Source organism: Homo sapiens, chromosome 1 (genome assembly GCF_000001405.40).
Source record: "Homo sapiens chromosome 1, GRCh38.p14 Primary Assembly".
NCBI classification, from domain to species: Eukaryota; Metazoa; Chordata; class Mammalia; order Primates; family Hominidae; genus Homo; species Homo sapiens.
In genome coordinates this window covers 50,900,180-50,924,172 of record NC_000001.11, presented here as the reverse complement: position 1 = coordinate 50,924,172, position 23,993 = coordinate 50,900,180, and the positions used below count along the sequence as shown (strand labels likewise).

Sequence of the window (23,993 nt, the reverse complement as noted above, 5' to 3'; positions counted from 1 at the left end):
TGTTAGGTTTTCTATATGTAAGATCATGTCGTCTGCAAACAAGAATGATTTGACCTCTTCCTTTGCAATTTGGATACCTTTTACTTCTTCCTCTTGTCTGGTTGCTATAGCTAAGACTTCTAGTACTATGTTGAATAACAGTGGTGAAAGTGGGCATGTTCGTCATGTTCCAGATATTAAAGTGTTTCAGTTTCTCCCCATTCAGTATGATGCTAGCTGTGGGTATGTCATATATGGGTTTATTACATTGAGTTATGTTTCTTCTATACTCAGTTGGGAGTTTTTATCAGAAATGGATGTTGAATTTTATTGAATGCTGTTTCAATGTCTATTTAAATGAAAATATGATTCTGGTTCTTGATTCTGTTATTTTGATGTACTGTATTTATTGATTTGTGCATGTTGAGCCATCTTTGCATTCCTGGCATAAATCCCACTTATGGTGAGTGATCTTTTTAATGTGCCATTGATTTCAGTTTGCTGGTATTTTGTTGAGGATTCTATCGAATCTATGTTCATCAGGGATATTGACCTGTAGTTTTCTTTTTTTGTTGTGTTCTTGCCTGGTTTTGATATCAGGGTAATGCTGTCTCATAGAAGGAATGAGGAAGAATTCCCTTCTTTTTAATTTTTTGAATATTTGAGAAGAGTTGGTGCTAGTTTTTTTCAAGAGTTTTGTAGAATTCAGCAGTGAAGCCATCTGGTCCTGGGCTTCTCTTTTTTGGAAGTTTTTGTTTGTTTTTTGTTTTTTTGTTTAAAGACACAAGGTCTTACCCTGTCACCCAGGCTGGAATGCAGTGGTATGATCATAGCTTACTGCAGCCTCAAACTCCTAGAGTCAAGGGATTCTCCTGCCTCAGGCTAGGACTACAGGTTTTGCACCCCTTTGCCTGGCTAAATTTTTTTGGAATATTTTTTGTAGTGATGGGTTTTTCTATATTGCCCAGGCCGGTCATGAACTCCTGGGCTTAAGCAATCCTTCCACCTCAGCCTCTCAAAGCATTGAGATTATAGGTGTGCGTTATTGCACTTAGCCTTAGGAGACTTTATTACTGATTCAATCTTGTTGCTCATTATGGCTCTGTTCAGGTTTTCTATTTCTTCATTGTTCAATCTTGGTAGTTATCTGTATCTAGAAATTTATCCATTTACTCTAGGTTTTCCAATTTGTTGGTATATAGCTGTTCATAATATCCTGCAATGATCTTTTGTGTTTCTTTGGTATCAGTTATGATGACTTCATTTTCATTTCTGAATTTCTTTTGTTAGTCTCATGAGCAGTTTATTGATCTTTTTTATCTTTTCAAAAAACCAACTTTTTTGATCTTTTGCCTTTTTTTTTTTTTTTTTTTTTGTGGTGGATTCTCGCACTGTTGCCTGGGCTGGAGTGCAATGGCGTGATCTTGGCTCACTGCAACCTCCATCTCCTGGGTTCAAGTGATTCTCCTGCCTCAGCCCCCACAAGTAGCTGGGATTATAGGTATGCACCAACACACCCGGATAATTTTGTATTTTTAGTAGAGATGGGGTTTCACCATGTTGGTCAGGCTGGTCTCAAACTCCTGACCTCAGGTGATCCACCCTCCTCGGCTTCCCAAAAGTGCTGGGATTACAGGCATGAGCCACTGCGGCCTAGCTTAGTTTGGTGGTTTTCTTTTCTTCTCTTCTCTTCTCTTCTCTCTCTCTTTTCTTTTTTTTTTTTTTTTTTTTTTTTGAGGCAGAGTCTTACTCTGTCACCCAGGCTGGAGTGCAATGGCGCGATCTTGGTTCACTACAACCTCCGTTTCTCAGGTTCAAGCGATTCTCCTGCCTCAGCCTCCCTAGTAGCTGGGATTACAGGTGCCTGCCACCACGCTCAGCTAATTTTTGTATTTTTAGTTTAGACAGGGTTTTGCCAGTTGGTCATGCTGGTCTCGAACTCCTTGACCTCAGGTGATCTGCCTGCCTTGGCCTCCCAAAGTGTGGGGATTACAGGTGTGAGCCACTGCGCCTGGCCTTTTTTTTTTGAGACGGAGTCTCTCTCTGTTACCCAGGTTGGAGTGCAATGATGTGATCTCAGCTCACTGCAACCTCTGCCTCCCGGGTTCTAAGCAATTCTCCTGCCTCAACCTTCCAAGTAGCTGGGATTACAGGTGCACGCCACCATGCCCGGCTAATTTTGTGTTTTTAGTGGAGACGGGGTTTCACCATGTTAGCCGGGCTGGTCTTGAACTCCTGGCCTCAGGTGATCCACCTGCCTTGGCCTCCCAAAGTGCTGGGATTACAGGTGTGAGCCATCACGTCTGGCCATTTGGTAGTTTTCTGTAGTGGTTACATTTGAGTCCTCTTCTCTTTCTCATTTGTGTGTCTGCTCTCTACCAATGAATTTTATACTTTAAATTTTTTTTTTTTGAAACAAGGTCTTTGCTCTATTTCCCAGGCTGGAGTGCAGTGGTGTGATCTTGGCTTACTGCATGCCTCTGCCTCCTGGCTCAGGTGATCCTCCCACGTCAGCCTCCCTAGTAGCTAGGACTACTCCATGTACTCAGCCTCCCTAGTAGCTAGGCACCACCATTCCTAACTGTTGTATTTTTAGTAGAGACAGGATTTCACCATGTTACCCAGGCTGGTCTCGAACTCCTGGGCTCAAATGATCTGCGCTTGTTGACTTCACAAAGTGCTGGGATTACAGGCGCGAGCCACCATGCCTGGCCACTTTAATGTGTTTTCATGACGATAGATTTTATTCTTTCACTTCCAGATGTAGGACCTCCTTAAACATTTCTTGTAGAGCTGGTCTTGTTGTTAAGAATTCCCTCAGTGGTGACAGGCAGGAGGTGTCAAGCTGATTCTCAGGCTCTTGGATGGTGCACGCAGCCACTGATAGTGCGTTGCAGAGTTGGGCAGGCCAGCCCACAGGCTCTAGGATGGCATCTGGGGGTGTTGGCTACTGCAGGTGGGGCAGGTCGGTCCCTAGGCCCTGTGATGGCTCACCCAGGCTCTGGCGGTTGTGGGCAGGGTGGGCCAACCTAAGGCCCCTGGACAGTGTGTACCTCATATGGTAATTGTATGTTTGATTTTTTGGGGGACACAGTGGGCTTTTGTCATAGATGTATTTTGTTACTGTATACATTTACTTATTTCTTCTAGAGGTTTTTAATGTAAAGAATGCAGGGTTTTCTATATATAATCATTTGTCTGTGATAAAAGATAGCTATAATTCTTTCCAATTTTTATGACTTTTTCTTTCTTTTTCTTACTTTATTGCCTGTGATAGGACCTCTAGTACAATAGAGGTTGAATAGAAGTGGTGACAGCAAACATTCTTTACATTCTTACCTTTTTCCTAATCTTAGGGATAAATATTCAGTCTTTCACTATTAAGTATGGTGTTAGCTATAGGTTTTTCATAGATGTCCTTCTGCTGATAAAGGAAATTGCTTTCTATTCTTAGTTTGCTAAGAGTTTTTATTATGAATGTTTATTAATTTTTTTGAATATTCTAGTGAGATGGTGATATAGATTTTCTCCTTTGTTCTGTTAATATGGTAAATTATACTGATTTCTGAATGTTAAACCAACCTTGCATTGCTGGGAGCAACCTCAGTTGGTCATGATTTGTTATCCTTTTTACATAATCCTGGATTTGATTTGCTAATATTTTGTTAAGGATTTTTGCATCTATGTTCATGAGGAAAATTGGCCTGGATTTAGAGGAATCTTGGGTGCATCTGCCACGTATCAGTGACATGAGCCAGGCAATCAGGGACAATGTCTGTCATCTGCAGTAGTACTTGGGGCTGTACCTACACTTTTTGGGAGCAGTAATGCCTGCTGTTTTTCTTCCACCTTCCAAAGCATATTTTCTTTCTTTACTTTTTTTTTTTTTTTTGAGACAGAGTCTTGCTCTTTCACCCAGGCTGGAGTGTGGTGGCGCGATCTTGGCTCACTGCAACCCTCTGCCCCCCAGGCTCAAGCGATTCTCCTGCCTCAGCCTCCCGAGTAGCTGGGACTACAGGCGAGTGCCACCACACCCAGCTAACTTTTTGTATTTTTAGTAGAGACAGGGTTTCACCATGTTGGCTGGGCTGGTCCCGAACTCCTGACCTCAGGTAGTCCACCTGACTCAGCCTCCCAAAGTGTTGGGATTACAGGTGTGAGCCACTGCCTGGCCTGCACATGTTTTGTTATGGCCATTCCTGACCTCAGACCACTCAGGGAAGGAATTTTCAGGAATTTAGTTTCAGTTTAGGTGAGTTGATACAGTATGAAACCAGCAGATCTCATCTTTGCTATACTTCTTACATTTCTTTTTTCCCACCCTTGTTCTAGAGATTACAACATACATGGTTTACTTATCACAGTTCCTCTTAATTGCTTTATACTACTTCATGTATAAGAACTTTATAAGAATATTCTTCGGCTGGGTGCGGTGGCTCACGCCTGTAAAAGGCCAAGGCTGGTGGATCACGAGGTCAGGAGTTCGAGACCATCCTGGCCAACATGGTGAAACCCTGTCTCTACTAAAAATAAAAAAAATTAGCCAGACGTGGTGTCAGGTGCTTGTAATCCCAGCTACTCGGGAGGCTGAGGCAGGAGAATCGCTTGAACCCGGGAGGCGGAGGTTGCAGTGAGCCGAGACCGTGCCACTGCACTCCAGCCTGGACAACAGAGCGAGACTCTGTCTCAAAAAAAAAAAAAAAATTCTTCTATTTACCCCCCGGCAGCCTTTATTTTATTCTTTTCATGTATTTTACTTATACGTGTTATATAGCTTATAATTCATTCTGTGATTTTTGCTTAGAATTGTTTTTTAAAGAATATAAGAAATAATAAAAAAAGTCTTACATTTACTATTTCTGATGCTCTTTGTGTAGATTAGCAGTTCCATCTAGTATCATTTCCCTCCAGCATGAAAACCGTTACTGTTTTTTATATGCAGATCTGTTGGTGAGAAATTCTCTCAGCTTTTGTTTATCTGGAAATTTATTTGTTTTGATTTTTCATTATTTGCATGTTTTTCATTTAGGAGTTAGAATTAGTGGTAAACCTATCTGTTGGGTATTTAAAAACATTTTGTTAAAGAGTATAAAACAAAATTATTAAGGAAATAACATTCCTGACACTTCATAATTTTTTTATTCTGCCTTTATTGATGAGTAAAAGTTCATTTATTTTGTTCCTTATAATTAAAAAGTTTTGGTTTATGTGAAATTTACATTCAGTGACATGAAGAAATGCTCATCATCACTGGCCATCAGAGAAATGCAAATCAAAACCACTATGAGATATCATCTCACACCAGTTAGAATGGCAATCATTAAAAAGTCAGGAAACAACAGGTGCTGGAGAGGATGTGGAGAAATAGGAACACTTTTACACTGTTGGTGGGACTGTAAACTAGTTCAACCATTGTGGAAGTCAGTGTGGCGATTCCTCAGGGATCTAGAACTAGAAATACCATTTGACCCAGCCATCCCATTACTGGGTATATACCCAAAGGACTATAAATCATGCTGCTATAAAGACACATGCACACGTATGTTTATTGCGGCACTATTCACAATAGCAAAGACTTGGAACCAACCCAAATGTCCAACAATGATAGACTGGATTAAGAAAATGTGGCACATATACACCATGGAATACTATGCAGCCATAAAAAATGATGAGTTCATGTCCTTTGTAGGGACATGGATGAAATTGGAAACCATCATTCTCAGTAAACTATCGCAAGAACAAAAAACCAAACACCGCATATTCTCACTCATAGGTGGGAATTGAACAATGAGATCACATGGACACAGGAAGGGGAATATCACACTCTGGGGACTGTGGTGGGGTCGGGGGAGGGGGGAGGGATAGCATTGGGAGATATACCTAATGCTAGATGACACGTTAGTGGGTGCAGCACACCAGCATGGCACATGTATACATATGTAACTAACCTGCACAATGTGCACATGTACCCTAAAACTTAGAGTATAATTAAAAAAAAAAAATTAAAAAAAAAAAAAAAGAAATTTACATTCAGTGAAATGTACTCTTTGTAAGTGGACAATTTGATGAGTTTTAATAATTATATAGGCAGGGTGTGGTGGCCCACTCCTGTAATCCTAGCACTTTGGGAGGCTGAGGTGGGCAGATCACTTGAGGCCAGAAAGGTTTCTTCATAGTCTCAATCATTCTTAATGTCCTGTGTGAAACCATAGGTCTGATTTCTATTATTGTAGATTACGTTTGCCTGTTATTGGACTTCATGTAAATGAAGTCATACAGCATGCACTGTTTTGAGTATGGCTTTTTTCTCTCAGCTTAATGCCTCTGAGGTTCATCAGATAAATGTATTGCGAACATTTTCTCCCAGTGTGTGACTTACCTTTTTATTTCACCTTAGATTCTGGTGTTTAGTCTGAGGTCTTAACCCTGGCTGGTCCTGATGTGTAATTTTGTTTTGTAAAACTGCCAAAAACTATGTTGGTTTTCTTTCTTTTCCTTTCCTTTCCTTTCCTTTCCTTTCCTTTCCTTTCCTTTCCTTTCCTTTCCTTTCCTTTCCTTTCCTTTCCTTTTTCCTTTCCCTTTTCCTTTCCTTTTTCCTTTCTTTTCCTTTCCTTTTTCCTTTCCTTGGCTTCTAACTAAATTAAGCTTTTTAGTTATCTGACTCAATGAATACATTAATACATTGAATTTAGCAAATGTTGCTTGGCAAAAAATCTGGCATTATGTTTGAGGCCCTCTGATTGCTGCAAAAATCTCTGCTGGTTTCTATTTTTATTTGTTGGTTCTGTTGATGCAAAGCCTGTATTTTCAAGTTCTTGCTCGGAATTAAAAAGTCCCTAGCAGAAGTCAGCTTCCTCTTTAAGTTCTCTCGATTTCAGGATCTTATACCATCTTGTTCTTGTTGCCTCTGTGAAGAAGCTTTTCTGAGCCTGCAAATAGATGATTGCAGTGTATCTTTCAGCTTTTCAATTTGTTCTCAGCAAGAGTTAGTCTTCTGCAAGCTACTCTAGCCCATCTGGAACCAAAACCTTTTGAATGCATTGATGAGAATACTTTTTAAAAATAGTTTGGATTTTAAGTTTTGCTGTTTACCCAAGCATAAGCCATCATCTTTCACTGTTCTTTCTTCCTCCTTTCCTTGTCTTTTTTGATAGCTGATTCTCTTAGGGTGATAGATTCGGGACATTGTAGTTATCACGATTCATCTGGCAGAAACTTTCTCTCATTGCCAGTTACCTAGGACTTGGCTAATTAAAAATTAAAACTACAGCTTGGTTCATTTCTCCTTATCTTTAATTTCCTTTGATCTATCTGCTTTTTATTTCTGTCTTTTGCTTCTAATCCATGAATGGATAGGATAGATACTGTCTTTACTTACTTATTGACATTAATTCTGTCCTTTGCTAATAATTACTATTCTCAGCAGCATTTGATTATTAAAACTTCATTTCTATGTTTCCCTAAGTCTTCTAGGAGAAGTAATATGAAGGCTTCCATTCTCTTTCCAATCTATGATTTGTTAGTGCTCCTCTCCTTTCATTTGTCAAGACCTTTGCAACCTGTCAGGGAGTATGTCATATGGGAAATTATTATGCTGTGAACAGTTTGAAGATCTTTGTTTCTACGTTTAGAGAGGTTCATTTTACATTGAGGCTCCTGAGGAAGTGGGGCTCTAGAACTCTGAGAAAGCACTTTCAACTTGTCCATTAGGAGGAGGGTAGTGCCACAAGAAAGAGGCATCATTATTATGAAATCGAGGTGTTTGTATGTGAAGATAAGTCCTAAAGGGAATGGTAATGCTTATGGTTAAAAGCCCAGGTATTGGGGTCAGGTAGCCTTGGATTCCTTTCCTGTCTTTACCACAAAATTAGCTGTGTGACTGAATAATTTACTTAATCCTGTGTCATTTCCTCATCTAGAAGATGGGAATAATAAGTTACAGAATGTTATCAAGACTGAATAATATCAACAGTAAATAGTAAGTATAAGAATTAGCATGGTGCCTGTCCTGCATTCTACCCTTCCTCCTACGACCCCCTTTTGTTTGTTTTTGTCTGTCTTTCATGTGCTAGGCTTTCCTCAAATGTCTGGTGCTTTTATTATCTATTCACATTTAAGAGTATGTACTGAAAAATTACTTAGAAGCTCAGAGGACATGGGCTGGAATTATCAAACAGAGGGCTGTATTATCTCTTAAGGTTATTGTTTGATTCGCTTTTTTCTTTGGGAACATCCAAGTGTCAGTGTATGAAGTTATTTTCAGCTTTAGGGGAAAAAAAAAGGATTTTTAAAGGTTCCTGCTTGTCCACTAGTGTTCTAGAGTTGGATGGGAATAGGGACTGTGGATCTCACCTTTCAGAATGCTGACTTAGCCTTATTTTCAGTCCAACAGTTCACTCTTATCCTCCTATGGGACTAATTTTCATGAGCCTGAAATATTTATTTCAACATCTCTAGAATACATACCTTTTTTCTCGTAAGAAGGTTAAGAGGAAGGTTAGTTGCTTCACTGTGTGAAGATGGAATTTGGGAACTGGGAGGTTCCTTGTGGATTAAAAAAAAAAAATCTCCTATTTTCAGCCCCCTGCCTTACCTCTGCCTCCTGAGGTACCTGGTACATACCATTCCTGAGCCTTTCTTCAGGGCAAATCAGCTTATTTACCAGACATCATCTCTGTAAACAGTTAGGTTTTATCTTCTACTCGTCTAAGTGGTTGACTATTTTTAACTGCATCCTAACATGGTTCAGGGATATAGATATCTTCTATTGAATGAAAGATGGAGTTTGTTTTTCAGTAAGTTGTTCTTTTTTTTTTTTTTTTTGAGATGGAGTTTCGCTCTTGTTGCCCAGGCTGGAGTGCAATGGCGTGATCTTGGCTCACTGCAACCTCCGCCTCCCAGGTTCAAGCGATTCTCGTGCCTCAGCCTCCCAAGTAGCCGGGATTACAGGCATGTACCACCGTGGCCAGCTGATTTTGTATTTTCAGTAGAGACAGGATTTCTCCATGTTGATCAAGCTGGTCTCAAACTCCTGACCTCAGGTGATCTGTCCGCCTCAGCCTTCCAAAGTGCTAGGATTACAGGCATGAGCCACCATGCCCAGCTGTTCTTGTTTTTAAGTGATGAAAAAGAAGAGTAGAAGAGGACAGAAGCATCTTCCTCTGTGAGCCTAAAACCAGAAGTTCAGATGTGTTTTAAAAACTTTGCAATGTGGAGAGCTGATTTGGGAGTTCATAATTTAGGAAGACCAGTTAGGAAACTATTGCAGAAATCCAAGGATAGAGAGAAACATGCTTAGTCTAGGCTGGTGAAAACAAGGATATGAAAAAGGTGGATGCATATATTGATAGTGATTTGTTTGGATCTAGGGAATGAGATGAAAGGGGAGGTCTAGGATGACCATTTGGACATTACTTTGATAGCGAGATAGAAGGGATATGTTAAGTATAGCACATTGTCCCTTCTATTGCTTTTTCAGTTATGTGGGAGGGATCAGAAATAGACAAGAAAGAAGTTGAATAACATTATAAGGCAAATAGTAGAGTAAGACAAAATATAATTAAATGCGCAGTGATTGATACATTTACTCAGAAGATAACAGAATAGGCATAACTGTGTTTTTCAGTAGCCTAAGCATAAAGGCATAAAGTCTGTCATCTTTTGCCTGTTTTATCTGTCACATTCTCAAAATGAAATGTGCTAAGTAAATCAGGGTTTTTGTTTTGATGCACTAACTAGAATAGTTTTGGAAAAGCAGTTTGCCAGTGGGTAAGCTTGAAGAAGAATTAAGAATTGATGGTAGAGAATTAGAGAGTAGCATTGATTTTATTCTAGCTTATATTAAAAATGCTTCTTACTGGCCTATATAGTTTTGTATACTTATTTACATGCCTTTGGTATCATAAACCAAATTTCCTCTTTGGTGTATTTGATGAATGGAGAAGATCTAACTTTAAAACACTGCTAAAATTAAATCATAGCTGTTAATACCAGGTTCTGATATTTCTGTGAAATGTGGCTGAAAAAATAAGAGTTTGGCTGAGTCATCAGGAATCCATGGTCTCGTCCTTTGCTTTGCAGACTTAAATATTTGATTTTTTTCTGTCATCCATCAGTGTTAATGTTCTGGTAAATAGATTCAGAGTAACAGATATACAGGAGATTGATCTGTTGTGTGGAATATTAATTTACAAAGAGATAGACATTTTTACATTGACCACAGGACTTGTAATCATTATTCAGAGCATCTTCTTCCTGGTAGGATACCTGAAAAACCAATTTGGTCATCAGAACATGGATTGGTGAGCATGGAAACAGAACAAATTACCTGCATTGGTTTGGGGGATGGTTTACTCAGGCCATAGTAAGTCTAGGAAGTTCTTCCTGCTCTATTTCTGCTGTTTGGATATTCATCCATCAGTTCCATCAGTACTATTTTTTAGTATCTTTACGATATCTTTAGTCTTTTGGAAAGTAATAGACAAATTCTTTCCTTCTCATTTTTTCCCCCAATATAATGTGTACAGACTACTTCTGTTAGAAACTCATTAAGACATATATTATTGTCATTATTTTGATTGATAATTATCTGCTGTTGCTGACAGTTTACTCTTGATGAAATTTGAAAACAATTCAAGTCTTTGTAAAACTGTGATACAGATTCTCTTCCTTTTTTGATGTTAACATCTTGAAGAAATCTGCAAGGTCTCTAATGGATAGATTCAGCCCTTTGGTGTTGTGGCTTTAGATTCAGATTCTGGTTCTGCCACCAAGTAGCTGAGTAAGTTGCACATGCCACTTGATCTCTTTAAGCTTGTATTTTCTTATTGGTGTACCTTCTCTTGTACGGATGATGAGGCAATTATGAATTAATGTGTTTAAAATATCTGAGCAGTGCAAAAGAAATGTATTTGTATAAAGTCGATCCATTCATCCTTTTAACAAGTATTAATTGAACAATCTACTGTGTCCCAGGCAGTTTGCTATGTATTGGGTTATAACACTGACCATGATAGTCATAATCCCTGCACTCATGCCATGTATAGTACAGTGGGGAAGAGAGACACACAAACAGGCAATTATAAAACTGTGTAGTAAGTGCTATAATAAGTGACAGAGCATTTTTATAAGTGTTTTTAGAGGTGCTTTAAAAAATGCAGCACCAAAATGTTTAAGGCTTTTTAAGGCTTGAATGCCCCAATTCACTAACTGGCTGGTTCATTTCTGTTAGTTGAGTTGAATGTATGCATAACTTGTTATATGAAGGGAATGTTGTATGAAACATAGTTTATCAGAATTCAGTTTTGGTGTGGCTTCTACACTTCATCTTTTTTTTAAATTTAAGTTTTAACAAAAACTTTTAAAGAAAAGTTATTTAAGAAACTGAGAATGGGTAAGCAATTGATTGATATTTTCAAATACTAAACCGCTGTTTGACAAAATGTGCATGCACCTACACTGTGGCACTGGCATTTATAAGCATTTATAAACATGTGAGTAGATTGCATAGTGTAGAGTCATGTGGCAACTTCTTTTGGGAAACAGTAGAGAGACATGATTTTTCTGAGTACACACTGCCAATTCAAGCATCTGTGTAGGTTGTGATAACCAGAGTAATGATGTTAAAAAGAACAACACACTAAGCTTAGTAAGGTTTAGTATAATTCAATCATCTTTTTAACAACACTAAAACTTCTGCACTGAGTTAAAGTGGTTTTCTAAGAATACCACCACCTAGATGGGGCAGGTGGTGGGCAAGGCTCCTTTTCCACTATACTCGTGCTTCTCAAACTTTAATCAATGTAAGAATCACCCAAGATACTCTGTAAAATGTAGATTCTAGAATCCTACTTCTAGAAAGTCTGATTCAGTAGTCTGAGACAGAGTCTAAAAACCTGTATTTTAAACAAGCATCTCAGGTAAATCTGATGTAGGAAGGATGAGGACAACACCGTAAACACTTTAATACACCATTCCTGTCTCCTGTGCTTTCTGTAATAGTGACTTGTCTAGCGGCAGCTCAAGCCCTTCTCTCTCCATAATTTTGAAGTTGGTGGTATTTTTGAAATGATGTTGTTGTCACCATTGAAGCACTGACAATAATAGTGTGCTTCGTTGTGCGTCAGGTCCTCTAAATACTCTGCCTTTTTTTTTTTTTGAGATAGTGTCTTACCCTGCCACCTAGGCTAGAGTGCAGTGGTGAGATCTCGGCTCACTGTAACCTTGACCTCCCAGGCTCAAGCGTTTCTCCCACCTCAGACTCCTGAGTAGCTGGGACTACAGGGGCATGCCACCATGCCTGATTGATTTTTCTGTATGTTTTTTGTAGACATGGGGTTTCGTCATGTTGCCCAGGCTGGTCTTGAACTCTTGAGCTCAAGTGATCCACCGACCTTGGCCTCCCAAAGTGCTGGGATTACAGGCGTGAGGCACCATGCCTGGCCCAAGTACAAATTTTATGGCTATTTTACCCATTCATGGGAGAAATAGTTTTTTTGGAGACAGAGTCTCACTCTGTTGCCCAGGCTGGAGTGTAGTGGCAACATCTTGGCACACTGCAACCTCTGCCTGCTGGGTTCAAGCCATTCTCATGACTCAGCCTCCCGAGTAGCTGAGACTACAGGCAGGTGCCACCAGGCTTGGTTAATTTTTGTGTTTTTTGGTAGAGATGGGGTTTCACCATGTTGGCCGGACTGGTCTCAAACTCCTGACCTCAAGTGATCCGCCTGCCTTGGCCTCCCAGAGTGCTGGGATCACAGGTGTGAGCCACCGCGCCCAGCCAGGAAGAAGTTTTTCTCAAGAAAACAAGATAATAATAAAGGCAGCCAGGTGTGGTGGCTCACACCTGTAATCCCAGTACTTTGGGAGGCCGAGGCAGGCAGATCACTTGAGGTCAGGAGTTCCAGAACAGCCTGGCCAACATGGTGAAACCCCATCTCTACTAAAAATAGAAAAATTAGCTGGGTATGGTGGTGTGGCCTGTAATCCCAGCTGCTTGGGAGGCTGAGGTGAGAGAATTGCTTGAACTGGGGAGGCAGAGGTTGCAGTGAGCTGAGATCACACCACTGCACTCCAGCATGAGTGACAGAGTGAGACTCTGTCTCCAAAAATAAATAAGTAAATAAATAAATAAAGCAAAATTCCGGATAGTGGTTACCTTAGGAGAAAAAGGAAGGTGAAAGGAGGTTCCAAGATGGCCAAATAGGAACAGCTCCAGTCTGTAGCTCCCAGTGTGAGCAATGCAGAAGACGGGTGATTTCTGCATTTCCAACAGAGGTACCAGGTTCATCTCACTGGGGCTTGTTGGACAGTGGGTGCAGCCCACGGAGTGTGAGCCGAAGCAGGGCGGGGCATTGCCTCACCCGGGAAGCACAAGGGGTTGGGGAATTTCCTTTCCTAGCCAAGGGAAGCTGTGACAGACGGTACCTGGAAAATCGGGACACTCCCACCCTAATACTGCGCTTTTCCAATGGTCTTAGCGAACGGCACACCAGATTAATCCCGCGCCTGGCTTGGAGGGTCCCACGGCCACGGAGCCTTGCTCACTGCTAGCACAGCAGTCTGAGATCGAACTGCAAGGCCACAGCAAGGCTGGGGGAGGGGCGTCCGCCATTGCTGAGGCTTGAGTAGGTAAACAAAGTGGCCCGGAAGCTCGAACTGGGTGGAGCCCACTGCAGCTCAAAGAGGCCTGCCTGCCTCTGTAGACTCCACCTCTAGGGGCAGGGCACAGTTGAACAAAAGGCATCAGAAACTTCTGCAGACTTAAACTTCCCTGTCTGACAGCTTTGAAGAGAGTAGTGGTTCTCCCAGCACAGAGTTTGAGATCTGAGAATGGATGACAGACTGCCTCCTCAAGTGGGTCCCTGACCACTGAGTAGCCTAACTGGGAGACACCTCCCAGTAGGGGCTGACTGACACCTCATTCAGCCGGGTGCCCCTCTGAGACAAAGCTTCCAGAGGAAGGATAAGGCAGCAACATTTGCCGTTCTGCAATATTTGCTTTTCTGCTGCCTCTGCTGTTGATACCCAGGCAAACAGGGTCTGGAGTGGACCTCCAGCAAACTCCAACAGACTTGCAACTGAGGGTCCTGACTGTTAGAAGGAAAACTAACAAACAGAAAGGACATCCACACCAAAACCCCGTCTGTACGTCAACATCATCAAAGACCAAAGGTAGATAAAAACACAAAGATGGCGAGAAACCAGAGCAGAAAGCTGAAAATTCTAAAAATCAGAGTGCCTCTTCTCCTCCAGAGGAATGCAGCTCCTCACCAGCAACGGAACAAAGCTGGATGGAGAATGACTTTGACGAGTTGAGACAAGAAGGCTTCAGACAATCGGTAATAACAAACTTCTCCGAGCTAAAGGGGGATCTTCAAACCCATCGCAAAGAAGCTAAAAACCTTGAAAAAAGATTAGACGAATGGCTAACCAGAATAAACAGCGTAGAGAAGACCTTAAATGACCTGATGAAGCTGAAAACCATGGCATGAGAACTACATGATGCATGCACAACCTTCAATAGCTGATTTGATCAACTGGAAGAAAGGGTATCAGTGATTGAAGCTCAAATGAATGAAATGAAGCAAGAAGAGAAGTTTAGAGAAAAAAGAGCAAAAAGAAACAAACAAAGCCTCCAAGAAATATGGGACTATGTGAAAAGACCAAATCTGCATCTGATTGGTGTACCTGAAAGTGACGAGAAGACTGGAACCAAGTTGGAAAACACTCTAAAGGATATTACCCAGGAGAACTTCCCCAACCTAGCAAGGCAGGCCAACATTCAAATTCAGGAAATACAGAGAACACCACAAAGATACTCCTCGAGAAGAGCAACTCCAAGACACATAATTGTCAGATTCACCAAAGTTGAAATGAAGGAAAAGATGTTAAGGGTAGCCAGAGAGAAAGGTCGAGTTACCCACAAAGGGAAGTCCATCAGACTAACAGCGGATCTCTGGGCAGAAACTCTACCAGCCAGAAGAGAGTGGGGTCCAATATTCAACATTCTTAAAGAAAAGAATTTTCAACCCAGAATTTCATATCCAGCCAAACTAAGCTTCATAAGTGTAGGAGAAATAAAATCCCTTACAGACAAGCAAATGCTGAGAGATTTTGTTACCACCAGGCCTACCTTACAAGAGCTTCTGAAGGAAGCACTAAACGTGGAAAGGAACAACCAATACTGGACACTGCAAAAACATGCCAAATTGTAAAGACAATCGATGCTAGGAAGAAACTGCATCAACTAATGAGGAAAGTAACCAGCTAACATCATGAAGACAGGATCAAATTCACACATAACAATATTAACCTTAAATGTAAATGGGCTAAATGCTCCAATTAAAAGACACAGACTGGCAAATTGGATAAAGAGTCAAGACCCATCAGTGTGCTGTATTCAGGAAACCCATCTCATGTGCAGAGACACACATAGGCTCAAAATAAAGGGACGGAGGGATATTTAGAAGGCAAATGGAAAGCAAAAAAAAAGGCAGGGGTTGCAATCCTAGTCTCTGATAAAACAGACTTTAAACCAACAAAGATCAAAAGAGACAAAGAAGGCCATTACATAATGGTAAAGGGATCAATTCAACAAGAAGAGCTAACTATCCTAAATATATGTGCACCCAATACAGGAGCACCTAGATTCATAAAGCAGATCCTTAGAAACCTACAAAGAGACTTAGACGCCCAAACAATAATAATGGGAGACTTTAACACCCCACTATCAACATTAGACAGATCAATGAGACAGAAAGTTAACAAGAATATCCAGGAATTGAACTCAGCTCTGCACCAAGCAGATCTAATAGACATCTACAGAACCCTCCACCCCAGGTCAGCAGAATATACATTCTTCTCAGCACCACATCACACTTATTCCAAAATTGACCACATAGTTGGAAGTAAAGCGCTCCTCAGCAAATGTAAAAGAACAGAAATTATAACAAACTGTCTCTCAGACCACAGTGCAATCAAACTAGAACTCAGGATTAAGAAGCTCACTCGAAACCACTCAACTACATGGAAACTGAACAACCTGCTCCTGAATGACTACTGGGTATATAACGAAATGAAGGCAGAAATAAAGATGTTCTTTGAAACCAATGAGAACGAAGACACAACATACCAGAACCTCTGGGACACTTTTAAAGCTGTGTGTAGAGGGAAATTTATAGCACTAAATGCCCACAAGAGAAAGCAGGAAAGATCTAAAATTGACACCCTAACATCACAATTAAAAGAACTAGATAAGCAAGAGCAAACACATTCAAAAGCTAGCAGAAGGCAAGAAATAACTAAGATCAGAGCAGAACTGAAGGAGATAGAGACACAAAAAAACCTTCAAAAAAATCAATGAATCCAGGAGGTGATTTTTGAAAAGATCAGCAAAATTGATAGCAGGACTAATAAAGAAGAAAAGAGAGAAGAATCAAATAGATGCAATAAAAAATGATAAAGGGGATATCACCACCAATCCCACAGAAATGCAAACTACCATCAGAGAATACTATAAACAACTCTATGAAAAAAAACTAGAAAATCTAGAAGAAATGGATAAATTCCTTGACACATGCACCCTCCCAAGACTAAACCAGGAAGAAGTTGAATCCCTGAATAGACCAATAACAGGCTCTGAAATTGAGGCAATAATTAATAGCCTACCAACCAAAAAAGTCCAGGACCAGATGGATTCACAACCGAATTCTACCAGAGGTACAAGGAGGAGCTGGTTCCATTCCTTCTGAAATTATTCCAATCAATAGAAAAAGAGGGAATCCTCCCTAACTCATTTTATGAGGCCAGCGTCATCCTGATACCAAAGCTCGGCAGAGACACAACCAAAAAAGAGAATTTTAGACTAATATCCCTGATGAACATCGATGCAGAAATCCTCAATAAAATACTGGCAAAGCAAATGCAGCAGCACATCAAAAAGTTTATACACCACGATCAAGTTGTCTTCATCCGTAGGATGCAAGGCTGGTTCAACTTACGCAAATCAATAAACGTAATCCGTTGTGTAAACAGAACCAAAGACAAAAACCACATGATTATCTCAGTAGATGCAGTAAAGACCTTCAACAAAATTCTATAGCCCTTCATGCTAAAAACTCTCAATAAACTAGGTGTTGATGGGACGTATCTCAAGATAATAAGAGCTATTTATGACAAACCCACAGCCAATATCATACTGAATGCACAAAAACTGGTAGCATTCCCTTTGAAAACTGTCACAAGACAGGGATGCCCTCTCTCACCACTCCTCTTCAACATAGTGTTGGAAGTTCTGGCCAGGGCAACCAGGCAGGAGAAATAAAGAAAGGGGATTCAATTAAGAAAAGAGGAAGTCAGATTGTCCCTGTTTGCAGATGACATGATTGTGTATTTAGAAAACCCCATCGTCTCAGCCCAAAATCTCCTTAAGCTGATAAGCAACTTCAGCAAAGTCTCAGGATACAAAATCAATGTGCAAAAATCACAGGCATTCCTATACACCAATAACAGACAAACAGAGAGCCGAATCATGAGTGAACTCCCATTCACAATTGCTTCAAAGAGAACAAAATACCTAGGAATCCAACTTACAAGGGACGTGAAGGACCTCTTCAAGGAGAACTACAAACCACTGCTCAATGAACTAAAAGAGGATACAAACAAATGGAAGAACATTCCATGCTTATGGATAGGAAGAATCAACATTGTGAAAATGGCCATACTGCCCAAGATAATTTATAGATTCAATGCCATCCCCATCAAGCCACCAATGACTTTCTTCACAGAATTGGAAAAAAGAACTTTAAAGTTCATATGGAACCAAAAAAGAGCCTGCATTGCCAAGACAATAGTAAGCCAAAAGAACAAAGCTGGAGGCATCACGTTACCTGACTTCAAACTATACTACAAAGCTACAATAACCAAAACAGCATGGTACTGGTACCAAAACAGAGATGTAGACCAATGGAATACAACAGAGCCCTCAGAAATAATACCACACATCTACAACCATCTGATCTTTGACAAACCTGATAAAAACAAGAAATGGGGAAAGGATTCCCTATTTAATAAATGGTGCTGGGAAAACTGGCTAGCCATATGTAGAAAGCTGAAACTGGATCCCTTCCTTACACCTTATACAAAAATTAATTCAAGGTGGATTAAAGACTCAAATGTTAGACGTAAAACCATAAAAACCCTAGAAGAAAACGTAGGCAATACCATTCAGGACTTAGGCATGGGCAAGGACTTCATGACTAAAACACCAAAAGCAATGGCAACCAAAGCCAAAATTGACAAACGGGATCTAATTAAACTAAAGAGCTTCTGCACAGCAAAAGAAACTGCCATCAGAGTGAACAGGCAACCTACAGAATGGGAGAAAAATTTTGCAATCTACCCATCTGACAAAGGGCTAATATCCAGAATCTACAAAGAACTTAAACATATTTACAAGAAAAAATCAACCCCATCAAAAAGTGGGTGAAGGATATTAACAGACACTTCTCAAAAGAAGACATTTATGCAGCCAACAGACACATGAAAAAATGCTCATCATCACTGGCCATCAGAGAAATGCAAATTAAAACCACAATCAGATACCATCTCACAGTTACAATGGTGATCATTAAAAAGTCAGGAAACTGCAGGTGCTAGAGAGGATGTGGAGAAATAGGAATACTTTTACACTGTTGGTGGGACTGTAAACTAGTTCAACCATTGTGGAAGACAGTGTGGCGATTCCTCAAGGATCTAGAACTAGAAATACCATTTGACCCAGCCATCCCATTATTGGGTATATATCCAAAGGATTATGAATCATGATGCTTTAAAGACACATGCACACATGTTTATTGCGGCACTATTCACAATAGCAAAGACTTGGAACCAACCCAAATGTCCATCAATGATAGACTGGATTAAGAAAATGTGGCACATGTACACCATGGGATACTATGCAGCCATAAAAATGGATGAGTTCATGTCCTTTGTAGGGACACGGATGAAGGTGGAAACCATCATTCTGAGCAAACGATCGCAAATACAGTAAAACAGACACCACATGTTCTCACTCATAGGTGGGAATTGAACAATGAGAACACTTGGACACAGGGTGGGGAACATCACACACCGGGGCCTGTTGTGGGGTGGGGGGCTGGTGTTGGGATAGCATTAGGAGATAAACCTAATGTAAATGATGAGTTAATGGGTGCAGCACACCAACATGGCACATGTATAGATATGTAACAAACCTGCACATTGTGCACAAGTACCCTAGAACTTAAAGTATATTAAAAAAAGGAAAAAAAAAAGGAAAAAAATAGGAAATATTATTCAGATGGCTTAAAAGATATTGATAATGTATTTTTTTAGTTGGGTAGTAGTTATATTTGTTTCAGGAGGTTTGTGGAAACTGGCAGTTCATCTTTGCTCAAAATACGGAAAAGTGAAATGTAAACATTATTATTTAGGACCATTAGTAATATTTATAAGCAGGAAGATTTCTACCCTTGAGATGGTAAATGCCCAAATAAAATCCACTAGGGAAATATTTGCAAACTTTGTTTTGATGACATAGGTAGGAAAATCTCAGCACAACTAGATATTACTGAGGGCTTGTCTTAAACAGGATTTTAGGAAAGTAAACATGCATACATAATGAAGTATACATAACATAAAATCTATCATTTTAATAATTTTAAAATGTATTGTTCTGTTGAATTAAGTACATTGAAATTGCTTTGTGTCCATTACCACCATTCATCTCCAGAACTTTTTCGTCTTCTCAAACTGAAACTCCTTGCCAATTAAACTTTAATTCCTCATTTCCCCATTCCCCAGCTCTGGCAGCCACCATTCTACTTTCTGTCTCTATGAATTTGACTACTCTAGTACCTCATATAAGTAGAATCATACAGTATTTGTCCCTTTGTGTCTGGCTTATTTCATTAATGTCTTCAGGGTGCATCCACACTGTAGCATGTTCAGAATTTCCCACCTTTCAAAGGCTGAATAATACTCTCTTGTATGTACAGACCACATTTTGTTTATTCATCTATCAATGGACATTTAGGTTGTTTCCACCTTTCGGTTATTGTGAATAATGCTGCTATGAACGTTGATATACAAATATCTGTTGGAATCCCTGTTTTCATTTAGTTTTTGGAATATATACCCGGAAGTGGAATTGTTAGATCATATGTTAATTCTAAATTTAATTTTTTGAGGGCTGCCATACTTATGTAGAAGTTTTATACAGTTTTCATGTACGTAGCTTGTTTTGTGAGGTTCCAGTAGAGAGACTTGGAAGCCAAGTATCCTGTATGTGCAACCTGTAGAGAGAACATGCTGGAAACCAAGCCAGCAGGAGACTAGAAATAACAGAGTGGAGACTCTTCCCTAATTTCTTGTTAAGGGAGCCAGGGATAATTCAGTTCTTTGCTAATTAGTATCTGTTGCTGCTATTGGACTTGTCACCAGATGTATATTACAATATCACTAATGTGGTTGGTTAGCAAATTGAATTTTTTCTTTTATCTTTCTTCCTTAAAATTCCCTTTTTCTCCTGATGTCCTCTATTTATTGCCATTTTTATTAGGTGCCCAAATGTTTCAACATTTTTTGTTATGAAACTGGAATTTTTGCTAGTGCATGTACAGTGATTTAATTTATACATATACTAAAGATACATCATTTAATTCCTTTGAAAGACATTTATTACCATTAACTACACTAGATATAGTTATAAGATGACAGAGCTACAAAAATGGACAAGACACCAGTCATATCTTGAGGAGACTATATAAAGACACAGTGTGCTAATCATTATAATTTATAAGTATCTCAGGAACTTTGAGATACAAAGTCCTAAGAAAACACAGGTAAGTAACTCTTTCGAGGGTTAGAGGGTAGGGATAATTAAGGAAGGCTTTAGTTAATGAAATATCTTGGCTGGCAGAGAAGATGATAAACAAGGAAATAACATAGGAAACAACTTGAGCAAAAGGTGTGAGAGTAGTTTGAATATGCATTAGATATGAACAGGTATCTGTGTTGTGCACTGGGGATAAAAAGATGACTTAAGACAGTTCCTACATTTCAAGAGATAAGAATCTAGTAGGGGAGATAGAAGATAGGTATGTAAACAAAATTATAGTCTGATAAGTGCCCAGGTTTTGTTGGAGAGTAATAAGGAGAAGGACCAAGATTACCAGAAATAACACCCAAATTGTGTAGTTGGATAGCTGTGATTTGACTGAAACTCTCACCACAAATGAGTTAATGTAGGATTTTTATTAATATTCTTGAGTTCGGCATTTCCAGATTCAACCAACCACAAATTGAAAATATTCGGGAGAAAACCCAACACAATAAAAATAATATATATAAAAAACAGATACAGTATAACAGCTACTTACATATCATTTACATTGTATTAGGTATTATCAGTAATCTAGAGATGATTTAAAGTATACTGGAGGATGTGCATAAGTTATATGCAAATACTATGCCATTTTATAGACGAGACTTGCATTCTCAGATTTTGGTATCCAAGGGAGGGGTACTGGAACCAATCCCCATGGATACCAAGAGACAACTGCATATAGTTTGTGTGACTTTGAATAAAGGGAGGTGAGTTTAGGGCAGTACATGTCCAAAATAGAGTGTGAGCCACATATGTAATTTAAAAATTTTAAGTAGCCCTACTTTTAAAGAAAGTAAGAATAGATGAATTAAATTTAATAATACATTTCATTTAACCCAGTGTATCCAGAGTATTATTTTAACATGTAATCAACATAAAAATTATTAATGAAATGTTTTCTTTAATTTCTAAGAAATGTAGTGTGTATTTTGTACTTACTGCACATCTCAGTTCTTATTACACATATTTCAGATGCTTGGTAGTCACATGTGGTTAGTGGCTACCATATTAGATAGCACAGGTTTTAAGATTCTATTAAAAGCATTAGAATTTCTGGAATAGTTTTAAAAAATCCTTTAAGTACTTTGCCTTTTATAATTATGGAAGGATCTTGTTTACAGTAATCAACTGATCACCTCTATCTGACATGGACTGAAATCCTTATATTAGTAGGATTTATGAGGAACTTTGAGAGTGATGCAATAACAAAAGTTACTTTCTTCGGAAGTTCATTATTTCCTAATGAAAATTAGGTACTTTGTAATTTCATTAATCAAAGCTATCTAGAGATGGTTTACAGTGTGCAAAGATGCTTGAAGAGCTGTTCTAAAAGATCTGCTTATAGTACTTCTAAACCATGTGATTGTTAACTGGCTGTAACAGGGTTTGTTGTTGTTGTTTTTGAGACAGGGTCTCACTCTGTTGCTCAGGTTGGAGTGCAGTGGCATGATCTTGGCCCACTGCAGCCTCTGCCTCCTGGGTTCAAGTGATTCTCCAGCCTCACCTTCCCTAGTAGCTGGGACCTCAAGCATGCACCACCATGCCCGACACATTTTTGTATTTTTTGTAGACAGGGTTTTACCATGTTGCCTAGGCTGGTATTGAACTCCTGAGCTCAAAGTGATCCACCTGCCTTGGCTTCCCAAAGTGCTGAGATTACAGGCATGAGTCTGCCTGAGCCACTGTGGCCAGCCAACAGTTTTTTTTTTCTTTTTAAATTTTTAAATTTTATTTTATAGAACCTAGGTCTTGCTATGTTGCCCAGGCTGATCTCAAACTCCTGGGCTCAAGCAATCTTCCCACCTTGGCCTCCCAAAGTGCTGGGCTTGCAGGAATGAGCCACCATGTTCAGCCCTGTAACATTTGGCTTTAATGAGGCACAAATGTGTTTTGGGGAAGCTGAAGTATTATTTATAATAAAATTACTTGGAATTAAAATAATTGATCTTTCATTGTTTATTCCCTTCTTCCCCATCCCCTTAAGGGGCCCTGGGTTCTGTCTTTTTCTCTTTTGATGGTTTTTGTTGCCTTTTTCTGAGAACAATAAATCTTAGCCCTGCAGGTGGAATCCTAACCATTCCAAGCAGGATTATATTTTTTAAGAGGAAGTAAGTAGCTGGATTAGAAGAACATAGATTCAGATTATTTTCATACAGATGTTATTAATGAAAAACAAGTAGATAAATATATAATACATTTTGAAATACTTCCATATTTTTCTATCTACTTTTTTTAATGTTTTAAACAATTCACTGTCACATCAAGATCAAATCTTTAAATTGTAACAGTACCTGGGGAAGTGATTTTACCTCTATTAGAAATCACATCAAGATCAAATCTTTAAATTGTAACAGTACCTGGGGAAGTGATTTTACCTCTATTAGAAATCTATATAGTTATACATAGCATATGTATATGTATACCCACACACACATAAATAGAATTTACTAAGTGAAAGATGAACGTGAATAAATACTCATTTGAGGCTATACTATATATTAGTACTGATGATATTTATAAAAAATGACGATTTATATTGGAAACCTTTGTATTTAACTGAAAGGGAAATGTGAAAAAGAGACTTACTGAGCATGTGCTGTGAGCTTGTTGCTTAATTTATCTCATTTAGTTTTCACAACCTCATAAGGAAGTTATTATTTTTCTCTGTAGATAATAGAGAGGTGAAGTAACTTGCTCTGGCTTGTAAAGTTTGTGAATTCAAAGTGTGTGAATTTGGAGTCAGACTGGTCTGACTCCAAAGCCTATGCTCTTTGCTCGGTCACTCTCAAAATTGCTTCTATCCATCCATCTGTCCATCAATCCATCATAACTCTGTTTAATGCAGGGAATTAAGAAGAAAACAATAATCACCATTGCAACAAAAAACACCTTAATTTCCCCAAAGATTAGAATAATTGAAGAGAAACAAAATTGAAAGCAATAAAAATGAAAAACAGTATTTTCTAAGATTGTGAGATGTAATATATTTTATGTGAAATGAAGCTTTTAGTCTTCATTAAGTTAGTTTAGAAAAGTTGTAAGAATTTCTTTTATGAAGTGTTTAGGTAGGCTTTAATATGCTAAAATT

General features: G+C 39.1%; 1 protein-coding gene across 3 annotated transcripts in view, besides 2 other annotated features; it reads left to right on the top strand.

Moving 5' to 3' along the window:
• The window catches only part of FAF1 (Fas associated factor 1), a 523,240-nt gene that overhangs the window by 36,095 nt on the left and 463,152 nt on the right, over positions 1 to 23,993 (top strand). The window lies entirely within an intron of this gene.
• Positions 12,904 to 13,472: an enhancer, noted in NCBI's record as "H3K27ac-H3K4me1 hESC enhancer chr1:51376373-51376941 (GRCh37/hg19 assembly coordinates)". NCBI's record gives its function as "activates a minimal SCP1, AML or CMV promoter by ChIP-STARR-seq in naive H9 embryonic stem cells {active_cell/tissue: H9 hESC(naive)}" and the evidence as "EXISTENCE:reporter gene assay evidence [ECO:0000049][PMID:30033119]".
• Positions 13,473 to 14,041: an enhancer, noted in NCBI's record as "H3K27ac-H3K4me1 hESC enhancer chr1:51375804-51376372 (GRCh37/hg19 assembly coordinates)". NCBI's record gives its function as "activates a minimal SCP1, AML or CMV promoter by ChIP-STARR-seq in primed H9 embryonic stem cells {active_cell/tissue: H9 hESC(primed)}" and the evidence as "EXISTENCE:reporter gene assay evidence [ECO:0000049][PMID:30033119]".